At 49.3% G+C, this 23,730-nt stretch overlaps 2 long non-coding RNA genes across 3 annotated transcripts in view, besides 1 other annotated feature; one reads left to right on the top strand and one right to left on the bottom strand.

Annotated features, from left to right (window-relative positions):
• Positions 1–808: 808 nt before the first annotated feature.
• On the bottom strand, positions 809–4,578 carry LINC02179 (long intergenic non-protein coding RNA 2179). The gene is made up of 2 exons (XR_243442.1): positions 2,203–4,578; positions 809–2,105 (listed from the first exon to the last, which is right to left on the bottom strand). It is a non-coding gene; the product is annotated as a long intergenic non-protein coding RNA 2179 (long non-coding RNA).
• Positions 5,407–5,908: an enhancer, noted in NCBI's record as "H3K4me1 hESC enhancer chr16:49498687-49499188 (GRCh37/hg19 assembly coordinates)". NCBI's record gives its function as "activates a minimal SCP1, AML or CMV promoter by ChIP-STARR-seq in naive H9 embryonic stem cells {active_cell/tissue: H9 hESC(naive)}" and the evidence as "EXISTENCE:reporter gene assay evidence [ECO:0000049][PMID:30033119]".
• The window catches only part of LOC105371244 (uncharacterized), an 81,768-nt gene continuing 74,630 nt past the window's right edge, over positions 16,593–23,730 (top strand). For both annotated transcript variants that reach the window (XR_001752167.2, XR_933534.2), the window contains exons 1-2: positions 16,593–16,679; positions 17,310–18,505. This is a non-coding gene — a long non-coding RNA (uncharacterized LOC105371244). The remainder of the gene's footprint in view (positions 16,680–17,309; positions 18,506–23,730) is intronic.

The following is a 23,730-nucleotide window of genomic DNA, read 5'->3' as shown; positions in this document are numbered from 1 at the left end:
GATACAGAGGGTGCAGAAGCTGTGCCCCACTCCCAGGGCAGGACCACTGCTTCTTTTTTCTTTTTTGGCAGGATCCAGCAGGCAGCTGGATGCAGCCCTGCCTGAGAGTCTGAGGAGGGAGAGCCTTCTGCTCCAGCCTTTTTGGGGACCCCAGTGCTGAGGGGACTACCAGGGTCTCCCCACATCACAGTGCCACCTGCTCTTGGCAAACTCAGGCAGACAAGGCTGGAATTGCCCTCATAGCCCCCCTGCCCTGCAGACCAACTCTCTAAGCAGCTTCATCAGGAATGATTTTCATGTTTGCCACACAACCCCGGGCCCCCAGGCACCCCCAGCCGAAGCCCTCCGCCCAGAGCCCCCCATTAATGTTAATGGAAGTCCCGTGGCTCAGACAGGGCGCCCTGCTGGAAAGAGGCCTCGGGACACCCTCCTGCAAACATGACCTTTTCCTGTGTAAGAGACAAGATTTCAAAATCAATTCCACCTGCGAGGCCTGCCCATCCCCGCCACATGGTGCTGCTCAGGGAAGAGGCCACGTGCCCCATGACAAGCAGGAGTCAATACTGAGTCTAAGGGAGCCCAGCTGCTGGGCCAGGACATCTGGGAGGTTGCTGTCTAGCCCCTCTGCTGGGGTGTCTCTCTGCAAAGGCCACAGGAATACTTTCTGATTGTACTGAATCCTCCCACGCCCACCTGGAACCAATGCGGCAATGGTGGCAAACACTCGCGCATAGAGCTGTGTGTCCAGACCAGCTGCACAAACCCTGAATGCTCACCAGACTGGTGAATTAGGCACTATTATTTTTTATTTATTTATTTATTTATTTATTTATTTATTTATTGAGACAGCGTCTTGCTCTTGTCTCCCAGACTGGAGTGCAATGGCACGATCTAGGTTCCCTGCAACCTCTGCCTCCCAGGTTCAAGCAATTCTCCTGCCTTAGCCTCCAGAGTAGCTGGGATTACAGGTGCACTCCACCAAGCCCGGGTAATTTTTGTATTTTTAGTAGCAATGGGGTTTTGCCATGTTAGCTAGGCTGGTCTCGAACTCTTGACCTCAGGTGGTCCTCCCACCTTGGCCTCCCAAAGTGCTGAGATTATAGGTGTCAGCCACCGTGTCCAGCCGACACTATTATTATCCCTATATCACACGTGGGGAAACTGAGGACAGAGAGGTTTGAGCTACCTGCTCAAGTCATACAGCAAGTAGGTAGCCGTATAGGGATTTGAACTGAGGAAGCCTAATATCTGTGATGCTTCTTAACTTTCTCCTGTGCACTCAGAAAACACTTGCAGGCACCTGCTCTGTGCCAAGCCCGTGCTGGGGGGCACAGAAGTGAGTCATATACAGTTCCTCCCCACCAGAGCCACTGTTCCCAGGGGAGGGGATGCCACAGGTCACTGTGAGGTATGATGAAGGCCTGGAGAGAGGAGGGGCAGATCTAGCATGCAGTGTGAGGGAGTATAGTCAGGGAGGACTTCCTGGAGAAGGGGATCTATGAATAGAGCAGAAGGTGCCCAAAAGCACCTGAGTATGCCTTTGGGGGCAGGTGCTTGGGTGCACGCAGGCATGTCCTGTGTCTGTGCACACATGTGCAGGCCTGGGTGTTGGCCCCGGGGGTATAAGGTTGCCAGGTGCCAGCCCCAGGGACCCAGCTGAGGCCATGAAGGCAGCAACAGCAGTAGGGAAGGACTGCTTCCTCTGAAGAGTTGGGCTGCCAGGCTCTTAGGGAGCATGAAGGATGCAGATGGAGCTGGAGCTGTGACCTGGGGCCTGGATGTCCCCATCCTGCACATGAAGGCAGTACTCTGGCAGGCCTCTCGCTAGGCTAGGAGGGAGACAGGATTCAGGAACCATGCCTGGGAGGCCCTGAGTGGGATAGGCCTTCAGATGGACATGGCCCTCAGATGGCCTCTTGTTGGCTGTAGAAGTGGTGCTTAGTTTTTGCAGTTTGAAGGTCTTTAGGTGCAAAAAGCCCTCTCTGTTTGCCCATAGTCCCCACACATCCCTCTTGGTCAACACCTTTGCCCATCCACATTTCCATCACCTGCCTGGCCTCTGAAGGCATTTGTTTTTGAGCACCTGGCTTTAGCAATTTCAAGTTCTTCATGTAAGAAAAACAAACAAACCTTGTCAATGGCCTCTCCTAGGAAAACTCCTATGTGCAGTAGGCTAACAACATCTCTATTTCTTTACCTTACCAAACAGCCCCCTTTCCGCCAGGATGAGGCTCATTCATTCATTCAACAAATGTGTACAGAGCACCTCATCTTTGTCAGACCCTGTTCCAGGTGCTGGGATGGATCAATGAACCAAGCAATCGAAAGCCCTGTCTTCCTGGCACTTCCATTCATGTGGTCCTGGATAGTGAGAGGAAGTTACAAAGAGCATGGGGCCTGGGGCCTGCATGGTCAGTTCCTGGGGCCAGCGGGCTCCCAGGAGCCTGACTACAAGCTCAGTCCTTGCCTCGTGTCCTTCCCCCATCAGCTCAACCTAAGGCCCAAGTTCATGGGTCCAGTGGGAGTCAAAGGAGGAAACAGCCAGCAACTCCCTCCTCGAGCAGCAGCCCGGTCCATCAGGCACCCTGGTGTCAGCAGGGTGCATCATCAGCTCCTGGAAGGTTAATGCCAGCCCAGATGCTAGGCTCTAGGACTGGGAGGGGGAATGAGTCGAGCAGCTTAGAATAGCCATCCAATAGCCAGAGGAAAGGGCACCATTATTATCCTTACTCTACAGTTAGAGGAACTGAGGCTCAGGCAGGCAAAGTCACACAGCTAGGAAAGGATATGTAGGGACCCACGTCTGCCTGACCCCAAAGCCAGGAGTCAGGTCCAGACTCTCAAGGGAGTGGTTTCCTATTATTCAAGAGACTTCACCTTCTTTCTCCTTTCTCCTTTCCTGCCTGATCTTCGGGCCCACCGCTGTAAAGCAGATGCTGCTGTTTGTCCTTAGTGAAGCTCCCATTCCATTGCTATTGGCACCCCAGACCCGGCGTCTTTGTTATGCTGACGGGTGGTCCTATGTAGGGGGAGCTGGTTTCTTAATCCTAGGATGCCCCTTCTCCAAGGAGTTGTGTCAGAGGCTGACCCAAAGCTGGGTGCAATCATATGTGCTCAATAACTGTCTGTGGATAACTTTTGTGGACTAATTTACTTGACCAGAAGCCAGCATTCGAGAGGAGCCTGGCATAGTGAGCAAATCTCTGAAATCAGCTACATGTGGCCTCACCACTTAACGGCGATGGGACCTTGGACCTGTGAGCCAATTCTTTATCCATAAAATGGGGATGCTCCTTCCTCCCCTGCAGATGGCTATGAGGATGCATCCAGTAGAAGCCCCGTAAGTGCCTGTGTGGGGCTTCTTCTACCACAGACATGGAATTAGCATGAGTAGCCAAGAGGGGGAGAAGTCAGGAAGGCCTGACATAGGAGAAGGATCCATTTGTGAAACTTGATCCTGAACAGGAGGCTGAGAACAGGGCCTTGAAACAGCCCTGTGGACCAAATGGGGCAGGTGAACCCTCTTTGCTTGGCTCAGGTGGAGAGGGTGATTTGTTTTGAGATCTTATCTTATTGGACAAGTCAGTCATACGCCTGCCCTAAACAGCCATGGGCCATGGGGATGTGATGTGCTGACTGGCACAGTCATGTGTTCCTCCTGGTGCAGTCCAGATCCTGTTGCCTGAAGTGGGGATGGGGGACCCCTGGTCAACTATGGGGGACTACTGCCTCTTGGCAGAGAGGCACCATGACAACCCACCAAAGTGGGCTAATCAGGCCTCTGCTCTGATTTATTTGGAGTCATCCTTCCTCCTCTTGCAACTTCTATTCATCCTTAAAAACCCAGCTTAAACACTGCTGCTGGAAGCATCCCTGTGCAACTTCAACCTTCTCTGAGCCTCTGTGGTGCGGGCAGCCTCTGCCACATAATGTATCAACCTCCAGATCATCACTGCTCCAGCATAGCTGAAATATTGCCTATGGTTTGCCAAGTGTGGGCACGTTATCCTCATAACAACTGAGAAAGGGGAAAGCCCTCTGACAGCCTGGGCTGGCCTGGCATTCACAGCCAGGCCATGGTGTTCTGTTGGACATGAACAGTTCTACAGCCCAGAAACATCAGACAAGACCGCTCGGTAACCATGAAGGATCAAAACAAAGACGAGACCATTCTGTAGTCCTGCCTGAACGCAGACGAAAACGTGAACATCGTCCAAATGACAAAACTGCCCAAATGTTCCCCTTCCTGGCTCAAATGTTTCTTAACTAATTGCAGTTGTAGCTTTGCTCAGTTCCTCCTGCCGTCTAGAAGAGAATCATTGACATACCCAATCACAGAATTACCCTTGCTTCCTGACAGCATCCAGCCTAGAGAAACAGCCTGCAAAATCACTTAATGCGAGCCCAAATCCCATGATCAGTCCTACTAACATCCCCTCCCCGAGACATCCAGGGGTGCGCATTCCCCTCCAGTGCAGTGACTCAAAAAGCCAACTTTGTTCAACCGAAAGGTGTGTTCCTGGTAGCCTTTGGCCGGAGGGCATTGCATGATCCTGCAAAAGAGATGTTATTGTTCTTATGTCACGGGCAAGGGAACAGGGGTTCAGAGAGGTTATGAAGTTGCCTAACGTCACAAAGCAGGGAGGTGGCGAAGCTAGGGTCCTCAGAGCTCTTCCCATGAAAACTCATTCACATTTGTCCTTTCTTGTTTTACTTTACTATGTGTCTGTGTGTGTATTGTGTAGTCATCAGTGCTGTTTGGGATGCAAATGACAGAACTCAAACCAGCTCAAACAAAAACAGGGTTTGGCTCAAAGGCCCTGTGGTGACTGGCGGAGGCTGAAAGCAGGACTGTGTTGATCTCAAGAACAAGAGTTAGGCGCGCAGACCCTGTTGGAAGTCTCTCTATCTCCTGCCCTTGCTCCTCTCTCTCTGATGATCAGACTTTTCTACTTCTTAGTTGATGCAGCAGAAAACACCCGCTGCCAACAACCCGCAGTTCAGCTCCCAACCTCTCAACACAGATTGGAGTGAAGAACCCCGATTGTCCTCCCTGGGGTGCTGCACACCCCTGAACTATCCCCTGAGGTTGGGAGGTGGGGCTCCTGGCCGATGTGGGCTCTTCCAGTAATTGCACGTAAAATGGAGCTAAGAGCTGGGGACTCCCTGAAGAGGGGAGAGGAGTTTCTCGGCTGCCGTGTGCACAGCCGCCTGCAGCGGGACCCTCGTGCTGCTGTCTGGCGCCTCTGCTCCTTGTAGGTGGATCCCAGCTCTCCCCACCTCACACAGCCGGGTGCAGGGAAGCGCACAGAGGCCGCCGGGGCCCTCACATCCCGGAGATTTTTTCTTCTAACAAGGCCCAGTTGTGAGGTGGCCATCATCGTTAAGGGACCAGCCACAGCCCCGCCGGTCGCCACTCCTGGGTCCGGCCTCACCTCCCCCGCAACCCAGGGTCTCCGGGGTCTGGCTCAGCCTACGGTGTCAGAACCCGGGACAACAGTGCGGGCCCAGACCAGACTCCCAGCCCGCAGCCGAGGGAACCCCGCGCTCAGGCTGCCCCGGGGCTTTTCAGCCCTCTCCGCCTCCCCGCAGCCCATGCCCACCTCGCCCGCGCCCACCTCGCTGGCAGCCCTCACCCTCACCCTCACCGGGCGCTCGTCACAGCGCCCCCTACTGGGCCCCGGGGCCTCTCAGCGTTTCCGGCGCTCTTCACCTGACTGTGTCTCATTCCCCCCTCTTTTCTGAACACTCTATGTGCTTCAGCAATGAACTGACAAGTGTGTGGGTGTGTCCCTGTGAGAGTCCCTGCCTGTGTCCCTGTGTGGCTCTGTGTGTCCTGCTCTGTGTATTTGCTCTTCCTTTCTTCCCCTCCCCGTTTTAGGCGTTTCTCCGCCCTTCTTGCTCCACTCCACACCAGAATCTTTGCTCCTATGCGAGGTGAGTGGGGTGGGAGTTCGGGGTCCCAAGCATTTGGCCCTGTGGACCAAATGGGGCAGGTGAACCTTCTTTGCTTGGCTCAGGTTGAGAGGGTGATTTGTTTTGTGCCACTCAGGGCAAACTCTCGACACCCCAAAATAGACAGGTCTGAAAGAGAACTCAGGGATCCTTTTACCCAGCCCCTCATTTCTTTGTACTAAATGGATCTACTGTATGGCTCAACGCTATTATCACGGTCCCTACAAAGCCCGATTATTAGAATTATTGTGTAGGTTGAACCATATGAAATTGCCTATATTTGACCGTTTTTCATCCACAAGAAAGTCAGTTTCACCTGGTTCAATAGAATGCTAATTTTTAATTATATGACACCTGCCACACCCCATCCAATCCCAGGGCCAGAGCATTCCCAGGGACTTACCCTACTTATGTGCCAGCCCCCACCCCCACCTTCTACAGAATGGAAAACCAAGGCACAGGGAGGTCAGGGGATCTCCCAGGCTGCACAGGCAGTGACAGAGGGCTGAGATCCTGCTGGCCTGTCCCCTAGGATTGAGGTTCGTTGCCTGGAACTTTCCCCTTGACTTCTAAATCTTTTTTTTTTTTTTTTTTTCCTTTTTTGAGATGGAGTCTCATTCTGTCACCCAGGCTGGAGTGCAATGGCACGATCTTGGCTCACTGCAACCTCCACCTCCTGGGTTCAAGCGATTCTCCTGCCTTGGACTCCCGAGTAGCTGGGGTTATAGGTGCCCACCACCACATTCAGCTGATTTTTTCCCTTTCTAGAACTCATCTGCTCATCTGTTGCAAGCTACCCTGTTAGCCAGAATTAACACACATTTCCTTTCAGAAAATACTGCAAGGACATCTCCACAGCCAGACACAGAGCATCAAGACTGAACAAACCGGATGTGGTTCCCACCCGCAATCTTGTCAGGGCAGACAGAAAGCCAGGTGTGCCATGAAATGCATGCGTTACCTTGGTGACATTCAGAGAAGAAGGGGAGGGGGCCCCCTTGGGGAGCATGGCCAGGGAAGGCCTCTCTGAGGGGATGACATTGCAGCCACCATCTCCCTGCAGGTCCCTTAGCAGCCCTCCCTCGCCTTTTTGAATCTTGTACTTTTGAGCCATCCTGACCTCTTGGCCCTTTCGTCAGCCTTGGGTCCGGAGGTTTTAATGACGAGGTTAACAACTCTCTTGTAACTGGAGCATTGAAATCCCTGAATGAAAGCAGCTCAAAGGTTTAGTGAGGCCCACATGCTCTGCACTCTCCCCCTACCTTGCCATCCCTCCCTCCTGCCAGTTAATGTACCACTTTTTTTTTTTAATGGGAGAAGTACGATTTTTGGCATATATGTTCCTGGCTTTTGAGGGGCTGGAGCTGTGGGGTGTGTCGTGGGCTGCACTGATGGCTGTCCTTGGGGGAGGAGGTCTCCTGCACGGAGGGGCACAGGTCCCAGGGAGAGTGCACTGAGGTGAGGCCCCCTCTGGAGGCCTTTGGCTGTTGCTGGCAGTGGGCAGGTGTCTGTCAGAGTGGAAACAGCTGCTGATCTGGTGACTCCCTTGCTTCCTGGCAAGCACAGGTGAGGGCTGTAGAGGATCCTACTGGAGAGACAGAGAAGAGAAGGAGAAAGGGCCGCCAAAGACCATGGGGGTGAAGGCCCATGTTCATGAGGCCCGGCCAGTGCTGAACCACATCCGGGGAGGCACACAGCGACCCCATTTCACAGATGAGGAAACTGAGGCTCAGAGACTGAGCTAAGGGGCACTCAGCTGGTTTTCCACCCAGGCAGTCTTGTCCCAGAGCCTTCTGCTTCCAATCTCACTGGAGCCCAGGACTCACAGTCCAGTGCTCTATGACCCTGGAAGTAGTGAGCGCTCTGCCTGGGTCCCTTGACTGGATGCAGGCACAGAGGGATGGACGGGCACTGAGCGTGAGTGTTTGTTGCTCCCTGGACCTTTGTCCCTGTGAGTGTGTGTATTGTGGGGTGAAGCAGGTGGCTTGGCATTCTGTCTGAATCCTTCCCTCTCTCTCTGGGTTTCTGGGACTTGCTCTCACTCTTACCTCTTTGTCTTTCTCTCTTCGTTGTTGTGGTCTCCATCTTGTTCCTCTGTCCCTGTCTCTTTCTGTCTTGGTTTCCCTTTGTCTCTTTACATCTTGTGCCCTCTCTCTGTCTTCCTCTCGTCTTTGATTCTCTGTCTAGCTCTGCCTCTCTCTCTCTGTCTCTGCTCCGTCTTTGATATCCCACAACTGCATCTCCTTTATGTCTCTCCTGCTTTGTCTCCGTTTAGATTCTCTGTCTTGTCTTGTTGACTGTGTGTCTCTGCCTCCGTATTTCCAGGGTTCTTGCTCTCTTTCTCAGTTCTTCCCTTTTTTTTTTTTTTTGTTGGAGACAGGGTCTCACTCTGTCACCCAGGCTGCAGTGCAGTGGCGCAGTCTTGGCTCACTGCAACCTACACCTCCCACGTTCAGGCAGTTCTCGTGCCTCAGCCTCCCAAGTAGCTGGGATTACAGACGTGTGACACCACGCCCAGCTAACTTTTGTGTTTTTAGTAGAGGCAGGGTTTCACCATGTTGGCCAGGACTGGCCTCGAACTCCTGGCCTCAAGTGATCTGCCCACCTTGGCCTCCCAAAGTACTGGGATTACAGGTGTGAGCCACCATGCCCAGCCCGTTTCTAATTTTTTGTCCACCTCTGTCTCTCTCCTTTCCCCCTCCCCCAGTTCTCAGAACATGCACTGTTTGTGGCCCCTTCCCAGGCTTAGCAAGCCCAGCACATCATGACAGACCAGCCCCGGGTGACCCTCATGTCATCGTCCCACACAGCAGGCAAGGCAAGGGCCTGGTCCCTGCCCAGGCTGGGGAAGCTGAGCTGGGAGGTGTGAGGTGAGGTGTGCCTTATCCCCGGCCGACAGGCAGGACCTGGATGAGAGCCCCAGCCTGTGTGGTCCCTGTGAGTGTGGGCCCCTGTGTCTGTGTGCTTGTGGCCGAGTTTGCCCTGAGGTGTTTGCCACATCCCCAAGTCCCTGTGGCCCCCACCTCCACCCCACCTGTGTCTTCCAGGTCCTCCCTGATCTGCACGACAGGCTAGGCCCCGAGTGGGTGCTGTTGGCATACAGTGGGCCCTGTGGACTTGTCTCTGTGCTGAGATAAAGGGGGGCTTAGCAAACATGTCAGCCATCACAGCCAAAGGTTGTGCAAACCCCTGCTGACCCCCCTGGCCCTCTGGGAGGACTGGGCCACTCTGAGTCCTTAAGCCTTGAGGCCTGGAGGTGCCATCTGCCCTTCTCCTACCCTGCACCCTGACCTCTGCCTTCTGCTCTGTGGCATGGCGAATTTCTTCTTTACAAATGTTATTCAGCAAATCCACACAGGGTGCCTGCTTGAAGTTACAGCTGTGCTGGCCCCTTGTCTTGCCATCTACACCTTAGGGGTCTGAGGACAAGAAAGGCCCTGCTAAAGCTCCTTCATCAGGGGCAGATGATGTGACTCTGGCCAGAGGTGTCCCACCAGGCTAGCGCTTCATCACCTGGGTGAAGAATTAACTTTCTCCCGGGGCAGGGACAGAAAAGCACCCGACCTCCCTGTGCAGGGGTGAGAAGGCAGAGATGGGCGCCATTTGAATTCCTGTCTGTGCCTTGAAAGGGCTCCAAGTTTCCTGAGTTTAAAGGGAAAGGAATGAGTTTCAAGTTGGAAAACTTAATGGGTGTCCAGCCTCTCTACACTGTCCTCCAGCCTCACGATCCTGGCAGGGGGGTAACATGAAAGGTGCCCGTGGAGGACAGAGGCGCCAGCTCGCCCAAGCCCCGGCTGGGGACAGCCCCACCCTCACCCACTTTAGAAGCCCCCTTGGAAGCCCCCAGGTAAAACCCCCACTTCCTTTATCCCAAGCCTCTTTTTTGAGGTTTGCCTGCATTTTTGATCTTAACAAGTTTCCTTTTCTTTTTTGTCATCTTTGCCAGAGCTTTTATGCGATTTCCTTTTATTTTAAAAATGGTGGCTTTCAAGCCTCGTCTCATCTATGATTGTTTCATGTTTGCAGGTTTCTGGAAGGTTTGGAGCTGGTCCCTGGGTGGGCAACTTCCCATCTGCTCCTTGCTCTGCTTGTCTGCTTGGAAGGGGCACACGAAGTGACGGCCCCTTTTCAGGGATTGGGGCGGGCCTTGAATCGACAGCCTCCTTTTCAGCTCCCCTCCAGCTGGGTTGGTGCGGCTGGAGAAAGAGGCAGGGTCCTCATCCTCCTGCCTCCCTCAAACCTCCCCTTCTCCATGCAGCAGCAGTAGACCTCATGGTTGCAGGCAGGCTGCCTGAGTTCCAGCCTCTAGCCACATGACTTAGGGCAGCCACTTGTACCCTTTAAGCCTCAGTTGCCCCATCTGTACAGTAGAGAAAGTAATACTTTACTGTAAGATAATAGTAATAAGTACTTACAAATAGTATAAGTAATAGTGCTATAAGATGATACATGGAAAGTGCTTGGCATAGTGCCTGGCACAGAGTGAAGACTTAATAAATAGAACCTATTATAATAGGACAAGCCCTTGGGCTCTCAGACCCCTGTGAGCTGGCCATTATCTCTGTATCCAGCCTCATCAGCTTCTTAGCCCATCTGGAATTTTCTTTGCTTACAAAGTGCCATCCCAGTAGTGCCACAACTCACCTGGCAACTTTGCAACACTGGATCTTTGCTGACACTGGTCCCTCTTCCTGGGACCCTTCTCATGCTACCTTATATGGGAAGACTCCTCCATCCTTCAGGTTCAGCTCAATGCCACCCACTTTGGGATACCTTTACCTCCCCAACCCAAATAAGAATTAACCTGGCCTTCTTCAGTGCCTGTATAAGTGAATTTGATTTTTATTTCACTTAATAATGGAGCAAGTGCTGGGTTGGTCTGTCTTTAGAATCAAAGAGATTTATATTTTAATCTAATTTTTGGCAGGTGCTAGCTTTTCCATTTCATATTTGTGCAACCATGAGCATTCTCCTTAATCCCTCTGAGCCTCAGTTTCCTTCATTTGAAGATGGAGGTGGTGATACCTTCTATAGCATAAGTTCTTGAGAGTGGCTAGAAATGCACTGTGTATTTCTAGCATGGGAACACTGTGGGCACTCAATAAACCTGACCATAGATGATCACTGAGCATTCTTGACTACTTGGCATATAAATAGTTCTCAATAAATGGCAACTTCCTTTATATCATGTCCATTTTTGTTGAGGAACTCATTCATTCACTTATTTGTCAACAGATGCAAATATTGAGTAACTGCTGTGTGCAGACTCAAGGAGACCTCCCAGAGGAATGAGAGGCATCTCTGCCCTTGCAGAGGTCCACTGACAAGCTGATGCAGGCAGAGTGAGGATGTCCTGTGATGAGCCTGGCTCAAGGTTCAGAGGCCGTATGGCACTTCTCTTGACTGTTCACTCTGTACTACACAGCCCATGGGCCTGCACACGCTAGATGCCTACTAAATGCCCCTGGACTGAATTATGTCTGATCCTTGGAAACTCATCCCTTCAGAGTTGCCCCGGGTTGGGCTGCCCCACAATTTAGCCAATCCCCAGTGCCTTGGGATCAGCTCTCTGTTATGTTCTGATGCTTTCCTTGGTGGGCTCCTCTGCCTCAGAAAACCCAAAGTAGATATGGATTTGGAGACAGAGCAGCTCCTCAGCTCCAGCTTCAGCCCTATGATTGATGTTTCTGCTGCTTCCTCTTCTCTTTTGCTAGTTTGTGTGTGTGTGTGTGTGTGTGTGTGTACCTTTATTTACCCTAGAAAGCAGACATAGGCTAACACATCATTTTGGTGTCCCCCAAAGCAAGGATTTTCAGATACTTCTTTCCACAGCCAGCCCAGGCCCTTCAGGACTCCACAGCACCACGGGGCCCTGGAGCACCTCAGGCCATGTGCCCATGATGGCTACACTCTGAGACTGAGGATCTAAGTTTTGGAACGCTCCTCCCTCATCAGCCCAGCTCCACCAGTCCTACTCAACACATGTCATTCTTTTCCCATCTCCAGGCCATTGTTTGGCCTGCCCATAGAACTTTAAAACTTCCCCTGTCCTTCTCACTATTCAGTTTTATGGTGGACATCTCCTCTTTGTCATGCAGCCTCCATTTCCCTTTATTGGAGCAAGCACGTTCTGTTTGTTCATCTTCCTTTAGGAGCCACACACTCTCTTACTTGCCATCCTTGGGCAGCAGGTGGATGAACACTACCCTGCTCCCAGGGGAAGAACGTGTGACCGAGAGCTGACCCATTCAAGTAGTAAGTCCCTCTGACCATATGATTGGCTCATGGATGCCCATGTGGCCGAAGAGGAGCCAATCAGGCCCAATCACTGCTAGTCTGGGACTTTTGCTCCTTGGACTAGAAAAGGTACTCTTGACCATTGGCCGTGGAGTGGGGAGGGTCGAGGTTGGTTGCTGGCAGAGACACTGTTTGGAGACAGTCTGCCTGTAAGATATGGAGGAGAGATGGGGAGTAAGTAATTTGTTCAAGTCGCTGTATTTTGCCACTTCTACCTACCCCTGGACTTCTTGGTTACATGCACCAACAAATTCTGCTTGTCTGCACACGCTCACATACATACACACATACCTGCCTTTTTTTTTTTCTTAAGCCACTTGGAATTGGGTTTTCAGTTACCTTGCAATAAAAATATCTAACCATTTGCTGGAGTCTCTGGTGGATCTGAAATTCTAAGCCCTGGAAGCAGGAAGATAGGTAAAATGTACCCCCAAGGCCACTTCCATGGTGGGATTGCAGGTGCAGCTGCCTTTTTTACAAACCCCCCCTCTGCTTTTCCCTTTGGCCTTGCCTGTTGGAGAGAGAAGGCTTTTCCCCTTATTTGGGCTGAGAGAGGGACACTATAGAACAAGGAAGCCCAAACCACCTTTCCTTCTGCTCCAGGGGTTAGAGGCCACTCTCCTTGGGTTTTTATTTTGTTTTACCTTTTATTTTTTGCAGATTTACCTTCCTAATTAGGTTCTGCTCAGGCAAATATATTAGGATTAGTTTGTAATCCTTGAGCTCACAGAAAGCGAGGGTGGGATGGCCCAGGAGCGGGCTAGGAGCCAGGAGGAGGAGGTGTTTGCTGTGGAAAATCCAGAGTGGGAGATGCACGTGGATAACAAGGTGTGTCTGCACATTAAATGGGTTTCAGATGTATCATTTGTTCATTGTTTGATACAAAGCTATGAATTATTAATTATGTACTAGGTGTTGGGGAGACAGAAGTGAACAGGACAAGACACCTGTCTTCACGGGTCTCTAGTGGAGGGTGAGAGGTAATGAGCAGGACTAATGGTGGTAACAGGTTGCCCAGGCTCCCGGGCCGCTGCCCCTGGTGCCGTGGACGACTTGTGTCCCTGTCTGCTAAGGCTGCGGCTGTGGCTGCTCCAGCCCCAGCAGGTGTAAGAGGCTCTGTAAAGAAGGGTGTTCCTACTTTCCTTTGCACTTGTTTGGTCTCCTCTGGTTCCAGCGTTTTTTTGGTTTTGTTTTTTGTTTTTTGAGACAGGGTTTCACTAACTCACCCAGGCTGGAGTGCAATGGCATGATCAGAACTCATTGCAGCCTTGGCCTCCCTGGGCTCAGGTGACCCTCCTGCCTCAGTCTCCTGAGTAGCTGGGATTGCAAAGATGCATCACCATGCCTGATTAATTTTTGAATTTTTTTGTAGAGACGGGGTCTTGCTACGTTGCCCCAAGCTGGTCTCTAACTCCTGGGCTCAAGCAAGCCAGCTGCCTCGGCCTCCTGTGCTCACCCTCCTGTGCTCACCCTCAGCCAGGCTTCCTGAAACCCATCCTCCGAGCCACACGTCTGGGTCAGGAGTAGGTCCCAGGCTGTGTCAGAACCAACGTCCTCCCCTCCTAGCCATTTGGACAGTTTGTACTTCCCCTTTCTTTGCGGTGAGCCTCCTCTCGGTATTTGCTGTCCTCGGGGTCCCTTCCAGCCGGGAGTCACTGCTTTGGGAAAGAAGGCAAGTGTCAATTCTCTCCCCTTGAGGCTTCTTGGCCCCAGGGCAGTTGTGTCACAGCATGGCAAGTAGACAGTGCAGATGGATGGGGTTAGCCCCTGTCAGGTTCCCAAAGTTGGGGCCACATCCTTCCCATAGCCATGGTGGCTCACTCACCTAACTTGTGCCCACTAAAGCAAAGGCCCTTTCCTGAACAGAGAAGACCGTTCCAAAATGGCCAGTGGCTCCACCTCAACCGACAAGCAATGCTGCAGCTTGCAAATGGCTCCTTCTTCAAGCCCTGCCTGAGTGGCGCCTTGAGCCCCTTGAGTCCCTCAGGGAGCAAGCATCTTGGGGCACAGCTCAGGGGCTCCCAGGCATCCCAAGGACCCCCACTTCTCTCGTGGGGAAAAGACAGATTCTACTCCAGGGGGCTGGATGTCACCATCACTGCCCTGGGACCAGGAAGCCTGCTGAGCCTAGGGCTGCTGCCATGCATGGGGGAGGCCTTGGGGGAGGTTGGTGAAGGGCACTGAGACCTTCGTGGGGTGGAAGGGAGACTCTCGATGGGGGATGCCTCTCACAGGGAGAGCATCAAGGCTGCCTGCCCTCCATTTTGCCTGTCATCATCTCCTGCAAATGGCCATTACAGGGCCCAGAGCTCTCCAGAAGGTCGTCCGCCCTGAAATTAAAGCCCAGCCTCCTTGGAGTGTGTCAGAAGCAGGGTGCTGATGGCCCATCTCTCTCTCATTGAGGGGGATTTACATCTGTTAGTAAATTTAAATGATGAGTTAAATGGGGTTTAGATGGCACCATGAGCAGGTATGTCCTCTGCTTAATGACCATGCAGGCCCATTAGCGGTTTCTGAGCTCCTGCATGGGCATGCTAGGGGCAACTCCTCCCCCTGGTGGGGGACATCCCACCACTCTATCCCCACCCTCCCATCCAAGGCCTGGGCATTGCAGAGGACTCAGCCTTGGCAGAGAGGAGGGCATGGGCAGTGGCTGTGATGCAAGCTGGGAGGACGGGGTTCTGCAGTCCCTGTCCCTGCCACCCTCTTCCTGCCTCCCTCTCCCCAGCGTTCTTTCTCTTTCTCAGTTTGGAGAAGTCTCATGCTCTCCAACTCTTCACGATGCAGCAGAGCCAGATGGGTCCTGGGAAGCTGCTGAGCCCAACATCCCACATTAGAGCTGGAGAAGCTGACAGTCCCTGGTTGGGAAGCAGGTTGAGATTCTGTCCCGCCTCCCGCTGAGGTGGACAGAGGGCACCAGAACAGAGTGGGTGTCAACCCTGGCTGTGTGGCATCTCCTGGGCAGCTTTGAACAAATAGGAGCGTGGGTTCTGCCTAGAGCTCCTGATTTCACTGGTGGGGGTGGGGCCTGGGCCTCGTTGTCTCTCACAGGCCCCCAGGTGACGTGGCTCTGAGGTACTCCAGGGTTGGCAACCACGGGGTGGTTCAAAGGAGTAGCTGGGGACTGAACTGCCATCAAAGCAACCTCCGTCTGCCTGGCCACACCAACCTAGGGCCACAGAGGGGGCATCCACAGCAGTGACATATATTTGTGTGGTTTTGCTTTCACTAAATATTGCAAGACTCCCAGAAACCCCCTCAAACTGTCACCCAATTATTTTGGGGTTACTCCAGGCTTGCCTCCTGTAGACTCGCAAACATGTCTGTCAGCTACCAAGGGGCACCTATGTCTGCTGCCTAAGCAGTTGTTGGGGTCCCCTGGCTCCTGTCCCCATGCTCTGCTGGATCCCGCACCTGTTTCAGGCACCATGATGTCAGCTAGCCACGCCTTGGGCCCTCCGGGTCTGGCTGTCTCCTTTGGGCCGTCCTCCCCGCTGACCCTACAGTGGTCTCTGAGCACCTCGCCCCCAGTGCTGGTGGGCTGACACTCCCAAACTTTGGAGCTGCAGTGGGCTTCCCATCACTGCTGCTCTCTGTTAGTGGCCCCCATGGCGAGGCTACTTGGTCTCACTGTCTTTTGAATTTTGATGAAAACCAAAATTTCAATTTTTGTAGAGAAGCTCTTCTCACTCCCAAGGACTTGGAGCATGAATCCAGGAGGTGTGGTCAGGAGACAAATCTATACCTGCCAGACACTAGAGTCCTGGCCTTTCCCTGCCCCGAGCTCAGACCTTTGTTAAAGCTAAGCTGGTGTTCCCGGCTTTCCCTTTAGAAGGCACTCTATTCCAGGGGGCTTCCCAACCCGTCATGCTGGGAGACTCCTGGTGGCCCTGTCCTGCTCCTTCCACTCCCAATACCCGGATATATTCTGTTTCTATCAGGAGACATGATTCAGGCCCAGGTTGTCCCTTCAGGGACCCCAGTGTCTTGAATCAGAGTTTCATCTTTAGGAAGCATTTTCCTATATTCTACGTTGGTGGGAAGTTTGCAGTTGAGATTAGGCTCTGGCTTGCATCATAACCTGTTCCTGCCCCACCTTCTGCAGGCCTTTCCATTGCTCCCTCTCACCCTCATGTTCAGGCCAGCCGTGTGGGCGCACAGGTAGAGATGGTCACACTCTAGGAAGGAAGAGGAGCCATTTTTCCCCAGGACACCATCCCCTTCCCTCTCATTGGCTAAAATGGGGTCACATGCCCACCCTTAAGCCAATCACTGGTAAGGGTCCTGGGACAACTGTGATAGGCTGAGACTTGCGGGAGCCTGTCCTCAGGGTGGGGAGGGGCTGAGCCATCACCCAGCACCAGGTTCCGGTGAGGACCATAGCAACTCCTGTCCGCACTTTGCATACTTACATTAGTTTCCTGAAGGTAAATTGTCACTAGCTTGCTGGCTTAAAGTAACAGAAGCCCAGAAATCCAAAATCAAGGTATCCGTGAGGCTGCACTCCCTCTGAAGCCTCGGGGACAATCTGGTCCTTGCCTCTTCCAGCTTCTGGTGGCACCAGGTGTTCTTTGGCTCATGGCCACATCCCTCTAATCTCTGCCTCTGTCTTTGTGTCTCTTCGCTGTTTGTCTCTTATAAGGATACTTGTCATTGAATTTAGCCCAGGATGATCTCAGGATCCTTAAATAATTACACCTTTTCCGTATAAGGTAACATTCACAGATTCCAGGAGTTAGAATGGGGACATATTTTTTTGAGGGCCACCATTTAACTCGCTTCAGTATTCGTTACCTCTGTCAGCAGAGACAAGGGTGGCACACAGACTACTCTTGGTAGACAAACGCCAGCATAGCTGAGGATCCAACACAGCAGGGCCACATGAGACTTTGGCAGTGCTGCCTGGCCTGGTCATATGGGGCCTGCTTGGAGGAGGAGGAGGAGGAGGAGGAGGAAAAGTTGTGTCTGCTTTTGAGTTTACTTCTAACCCTCTCCGTGGTTTATTTTCCCCACTGTCCCATTTGGTCTTGACTTCCTGAATTTTTCTGTGATTGCAGAATTCTCCCATTGTGCCTTGCCCGACATCTGAGAGCAGTGAGTGGTCTGCCTGGCATTGAAAAGGAAAAAGTTTCTGGAAGACCCACCTGGGGCTAGAAGCCTTGAAGTTGCTGTGGGTCTGGGGCTTGTGAAGGGAAGCCGGAATGGGGGAGGGCTGCGTGGAGGCAGGGGACTGGCCCTGAAGGCCAGAGACGATCTCCTGGGCTACAGATCCCAGGCCCCTGGGGTGGGATGGTGTGTGTGTTGGGGGCACCTGAGTTGCCCACCTCAGGGGAACTTGGGGGTCCTCCAGGGCCCCAACTGCGAAGCCCCTATTGCTGTTTTTCCTAAGCCCCCAGGCCTAAAAGCTAGAGTCCCAGGGAGAATAAAACAGCCTGAGCAAAAAGGCTCCAAGGCAGTTCAAAGACAGAGAGAGACTGAGGATGAAGTTTTCAAGCCACATCCAAGGGGAGGGCTTTTCATCTGCCAGCCTTTGAATCGGGAATCAAGGCGGGCAAAGTTACTACCAGGTTAAAGTTTAAATGGCACAGAAAGGGGAGACAGGAAGATGAAACGACGGCCGTCTGGCCAGGGGAACAAAGCCGGAGCCCAGCCTGGCCACCTGGCCGCAGAGGCGCTGAGTGGTAGCAGTCCCAGCCAGGAGGGGCTGCGACGCTGCCATTGTTCAGCTGAAGAACGAAAGTAATTGAAAGGAAAGGTGAGCCAAGGAGAGGCAGCCGGTGCGTATGACTGCCTGGATCGTTAGAAAATAATTTAAAGGGAACAGGCCTATCAAGCAGTTTCTCTTATGGAAATGCCATCATTGAAGAGAAAGGAAGGGGAGGGTGGGGGAACCTTTCATTCTTTGGAAAAGAGTGAGTTTTTTTCCCCTCACCAAATATAGACTTGAATATTATTTGAAATCCCGTCATTTGGCAAACTTGCTTTACTCCCTAACTACCTAGGCTGGGGGCCCTCCACAAAACCTTGAGACTTTGGGAACCCTGATGTCTGGGGGGAAACGGGGATGACATGGCTGCATAGCCACAGGATTTTCACTATGAGACCGGGAAGCTCCCTGCATCCTCAGGAAGCCCAGCCCTTGTTTAACTTCCTCCCTGGTTCTGCCTGCAATCCTTACCTCAGAATCGCCCCAGAGCACTGCTGCTTGACCACCTACCAGCTGTGATTTCTGGGGTCTTGAAGACACAAATAGGTGAGTTAGCATGCTGCCCCAGGGGGTGCAGGTGCCCCTTACACCCCTACCTTTCTAGATGAAACTTCCCTGTCCCCAGTATTTGACTGTACACAGGGGGAAAAACCCTGATAACGTTGTTTTAATCTTCTGGAGCTAAAAGACGTGTTCAAAATTGTCAGCATTAGTCAAGCACTTATTATGTGCCAGACAGAGTCTAGTGAACAAAACACAGACCCCTATGTTTAGGAACCTTTAGTCTAGTTGAGGAGGTGGACAAATAAATAAGCAATAACAATATAGATGAATAAGAACTGTGATAGATGAAGCATTATGGCTGTGGGGGGTCCATAGCAGGAACACTTAACCTGGTCTGTAGGCCATGAGGGAAGGCTTCCTGGAGGAGGTGACACGTGGGCTGAATTGTGAAGATTTATGAGCTATTAGTGAGGGAACTTCTACTTCCAGCCAAGATGGAGTAACAAGAGCCATATTTACCCTTCTGCCTGAAAAAACTGGACAAAATGTATGAAACGGTGGTTTGTAAGACACTGGACATTAAGGAATACAGGACAGTGTTCCCTGAGAGAAGAGAGGCAAATGATGCGAGCCCTGTGATTGCACCAGCTTACTGCCTTGAGAGGGCTTCTGAGCCATGGCACAAGGAGGGGGAACCAAAGAGGAAGACTGGCAGGCCTCCTGAGTTGAGGGGACAGAGCTGAGAGTCAGGACCAAGGTGGTGAGAGTCTGCAGGCAGGAAGGTCTAAGAGGAAAGAGCTGCACTCAGAAAGAGCTCTGGAGATTCTGCTCAAGTATTCGGCAGAAAATCAGTCAGCATGTGCATGTGAGGGAACTATCTGGAGCTTGGGAATTAATCATTCAGAGGATCAGAGTGAAGAGTATCTGGTGCTCACACAAAGAATAGTGCCTGTTCCGGCCAGCCAGACTAGAGGACCTAATAATTCACAGGGATCGAGTAGGGCCCTCAGGAAACTCTTGCCTCAGTAGTGGGAAATGATTAGCCTTAGACTGAGCCCTATTCTGGCCCCACCTGGCAAATCTAGAAAATAAGACCCCAAAGGATGAAACTGTCTCCAAGTGCTTTAACTGCATCCAGAACAAAGCTCAAGAATATTTATAGGAATACAAACGTGCCCATCACCTAGAAAGGTAAAATTCATTATGTCTGGCATCCATTTACAAATTACCAGCTGTGCAAAGAAGTGGGAGAATATGACCCATGATGAAGAGGAAAATCATTCCATCAAAACTGATCCAGAACTGATGTAAATGTTAGACTTAGCAGACAAGGTCATTAAAACAGATCTTATGATTGTATCCTGTATGTTCAAGAAGTTAATTAGAAATAGAGAAAACATGAAAAAGATGCAATCAGACTACTAAAAATGAAGACTACGGTGTCTGAGACTGAAAAGTGCACTGCATGGAATTAATAGGAGATGACACATTGCAGAGGAAAAGCCTGGCGAACTTGAAGACATAGCCATAGAAACTATCCAACATGAAATAAAGAGAGCAAACATAATTTTAAAAAATACATTGAAAGAGTATACGTGAGCCATGGCACAACATTCAGTGGTCTAATATACATGGAATTGGGGTGGCCCAAAACGAACAGGGCAGGAATAGAGGCCAAAATTTTTCCAAACTTTATGAGACCCATAAACCCACAGATCCAAGAAGCTCAATGAACTCCAAACACAAAAACATGCAGAAAATGGTGGCACATCAAGTTTAAGTATCAAAGAACTGTCAAACCAGAATTCTATTCCTAGTGAAAATATTTTTCAAAAATGAAGCAAAATAAAGATTTGTTCAGACACACAAAAGCTTAAGGACTCCGTTTTAAATGGAAATACACAAATAGGGTTAAAAGTAAAAGGATGGAAAAAGGTATAACATGCTAACAGTCATCAAAAGAAAGTAGATAAGGTAGATTTCAGACCAAAGAATATTACTAGGGTAAAAAGGTCATTTTATAAAACTAAAGGGGTCAGTACATTGGGAGGATATGACAATTCTAAATTTTTATATACCTGTTAACAGAGCTTCAAATAATGAAGGAAAAAATAATAAGACTGCAAGAGAAATAGACAAACCTGCAATTATGGACAGAGATCTTAATACCCCCTCTCAATAATTAATAGACAGAAAATCAATAGGAGTATAGAAGACTTAAACAACTCTATTAACCAACTTGACCAAATTGACACTTATATAACATTCCACCCAACAATAGCAGAATACACATTCTTTGTAAGTACACACGGAATACACTTTGGCCAAGATAGACCGTATTATTGGCCATAAAATGAGCCTTAATAAATTTAAAAGGATTTAAACCATAGAGTATGTTCTCTGACCGTAACGAAATTACATTAGAAATGAATAACAGAAAGATCTTTGGAAAGACTCCAAATATTTGGAAACAAAGTGACACTTTCTATATAAGCTATGGTTCAAAAAAGAAATCAAAAGGGGAAAAGAGAGTGTATATATATATATATATATATACACACACATATATATATATACACACATATATGTGTATATATATATGTGTGTGTGTATATATATATATATATATATACACTCTCTTTTCCCCTTTTGATTTCTTTTATATATATGTGTATATATATATATATATGTATGTGTATATATATATATATATATATTTTTTTTTTTTTTTTTTTTTTTTTGAGAGAGGGTCTCGCTGAGACACCCAGGCTGGAGCGCAATGGTGCGATCTGAGCTCACTGCAACCTCCACCTCCTAGGTTCAAGTGATTCTCCTGTCTCAGCCTCCTGAGTAGCTGGGGCAAGGAGGGGGAACCAAAGTAGCTGGGACAAGGAGGCGTGCACCACCATGCCTGGCTAATTTTTGTATTTTTAGTAGAGACAGGGTTTCACTGTATTGGCCAGGCTGGTCTCGAACTCTTGACCTCAAGTGATCTGCCTGTCTCAGCCTCCCAAAGTGCTGGGATTACAGGCGTGAGCCACCGCACCCGACTGAAAGAGAGTATTTTTAACTGAGTGGAAGTGATAATACATTATTTCAAGATTTGTGAGATATCTCTAAAGCAGTGCTGACACGGAAATTTATAATACTGAATTCTGACATTAGAAAGGAATAAAGCTCTCAAATCAGTTATCTCATCTTTTGCCTTAAAAAAACTAGAAAATACAAGAGCAAATTAAGCTCAAGATAAGCAGAATAAAGAAAATAAAGATCAGAGTAGACTAATGAAATAGAGCATATAGAGAACAGAAAAACAATAAAACCAAAAGCTAGTTCTTTTAGAAGATCAATAAAAATAGTAAGCCTCTAGTCAGACTGATCAAGAAAAAGGGAAGACAGAAATTACCAAATATCAGCTGGGCATGGTGGCTCATGTCTATAATCCCAGCACTTTGGGAGGCTGAGGCGGGCAGATCACTTGAGGTCAGGAGTTCGAGACAAGCCTGGCTAACATGGTGAAACCCCATCTCTGCTAAAAATACAAAAATTCGCTGGGCATGGTGGTGGGTGCCTGTAATCCCAGCTACTTGGGAGGCTGAAACAGAAGAATCACTCGAAACTGGGAGGCAGAGGTTGTAGTGAGCCGAGATTGTGCTACTGCACTCCAGCCTGGACAACAGAGTGAGATTCCATCTCAAAAAAAAAGGACCAAATATCAACAATGAGATAGTTGACAACATTACATAATATATAGATATTAAAAGGATAATAAGGGAGTATTATGAACATCTCTCTATCTTAGATGAAATGGACAAAATCCTTGAACATTGCAAACTACCAAATCTCATCCAAGAAGAAACAGAAAACCTGAATGGCTCCATGTTTATTAAAATAATTGAATTTGTAATTAAAAACTTTCTGATAAAGTAAGCCCTAGGCCAAGGTGGCTTCACTTGTGAATTCTGTCAAACATTTAAAAAAGCAATAATACCAACTACACACAAACTCTTCCAGGAAACTGAAGAAGAGGGAATATTTCCATCTCATCCTATAAGGCCTGAATTATCCTGTCTTCAAAACCAGACAAAGCCATTACAAGAAAAGGGAACTACAGACCAATATCCTTTATGCACATAGATGCAAAAAATCTAAGTAAAATTTTAGGAAATTGAATTCAGTGACATATACAAAGGATAACATATCATGACCAAGGTGGTTTAGTATTAGGAAATTGATCAGTGCAATTCATTTTATTCATAAACTAGGGAAAAAATGGTATGATCACTTTAATAGCCACAGAAAAAAACATTCAATGAAATTCAATACCCATTGATGATTTTTTAAAAAATCTCAACAAATTAGGAATAGAAGAAAACTTCTTTAACTGGAAAAACCTACAGGTAACATCATACATAATGAAAAATTGAACGTATTTCTCTTAAGGAACAAGTCAAGAATGTCGTCTCTCACTGCTTCTATTCAATATTGTACTAGAGGCGCTAGCCAGTGAAATAGGGGGAAGACAAAGAAAGAGAGAAAGAAGTAAAAACGTTTGCATTTGCAGATAACATGATCGTCTATATAGAAAATCTGATGACACCTATAAAACAGCCACTAGGACTAATGAAGATATTTAGCAGGGTTACAGAATACAAGATCAATATACATAATCAGTTGTATTTTTATACACTAACAAGGAGCCATCAGAACTTAAAATTTTAAATACCACTTACCGTAGCATCAAAAACCATGAAACACTTAGAGATAAGTCTGAGAAGAGACGTGTAAGATCTGTACACTGGAAACTCTAAAACAATGCTGAGAGAAATTAAGGAAGATCTAAATAAATAGAGACATGCCTTGTTCATGGGTCAGAAAACTCAATATTTTTAAGATGTCAGTTCTTCCCAAATTTATCTACAGATTCAGAGCAACCCTAATCAAAATTCCTGTAGGCTATTTTGAAGATTCTCAAATTGATTTGGAAATGTAAAGGGAGCTAGAATAGCCAAAACAATTTTGAAAAAGACAAAGTTGGGACCAATGTTATCTGATTTTGAGACTGAGAATAAGGCCATAGTAATCAAGAGCCTGTAGTACTGGAGTAAAGACGGAGAAAGAGATGAATAGAACAGAATAGAGAACCCAGAAATAGAGCTCTGTCTCTACATGTGGACAACTGACTTTTGACAAAGGTGCAAAGGTGATTCAGTGAGAAAAGATAGTCATTTCAACAAATAGTGTTGAAACAACGGATGTCAATACAC

The sequence above is a fragment of the Homo sapiens genome, chromosome 16 (genome assembly GCF_000001405.40).
Source record: "Homo sapiens chromosome 16, GRCh38.p14 Primary Assembly".
NCBI lineage: Eukaryota > Metazoa > Chordata > Mammalia > Primates > Hominidae > Homo > Homo sapiens.
Note: the sequence above shows the minus strand (reverse complement) of the source record. Positions and strands in the feature narration are given on the sequence as shown.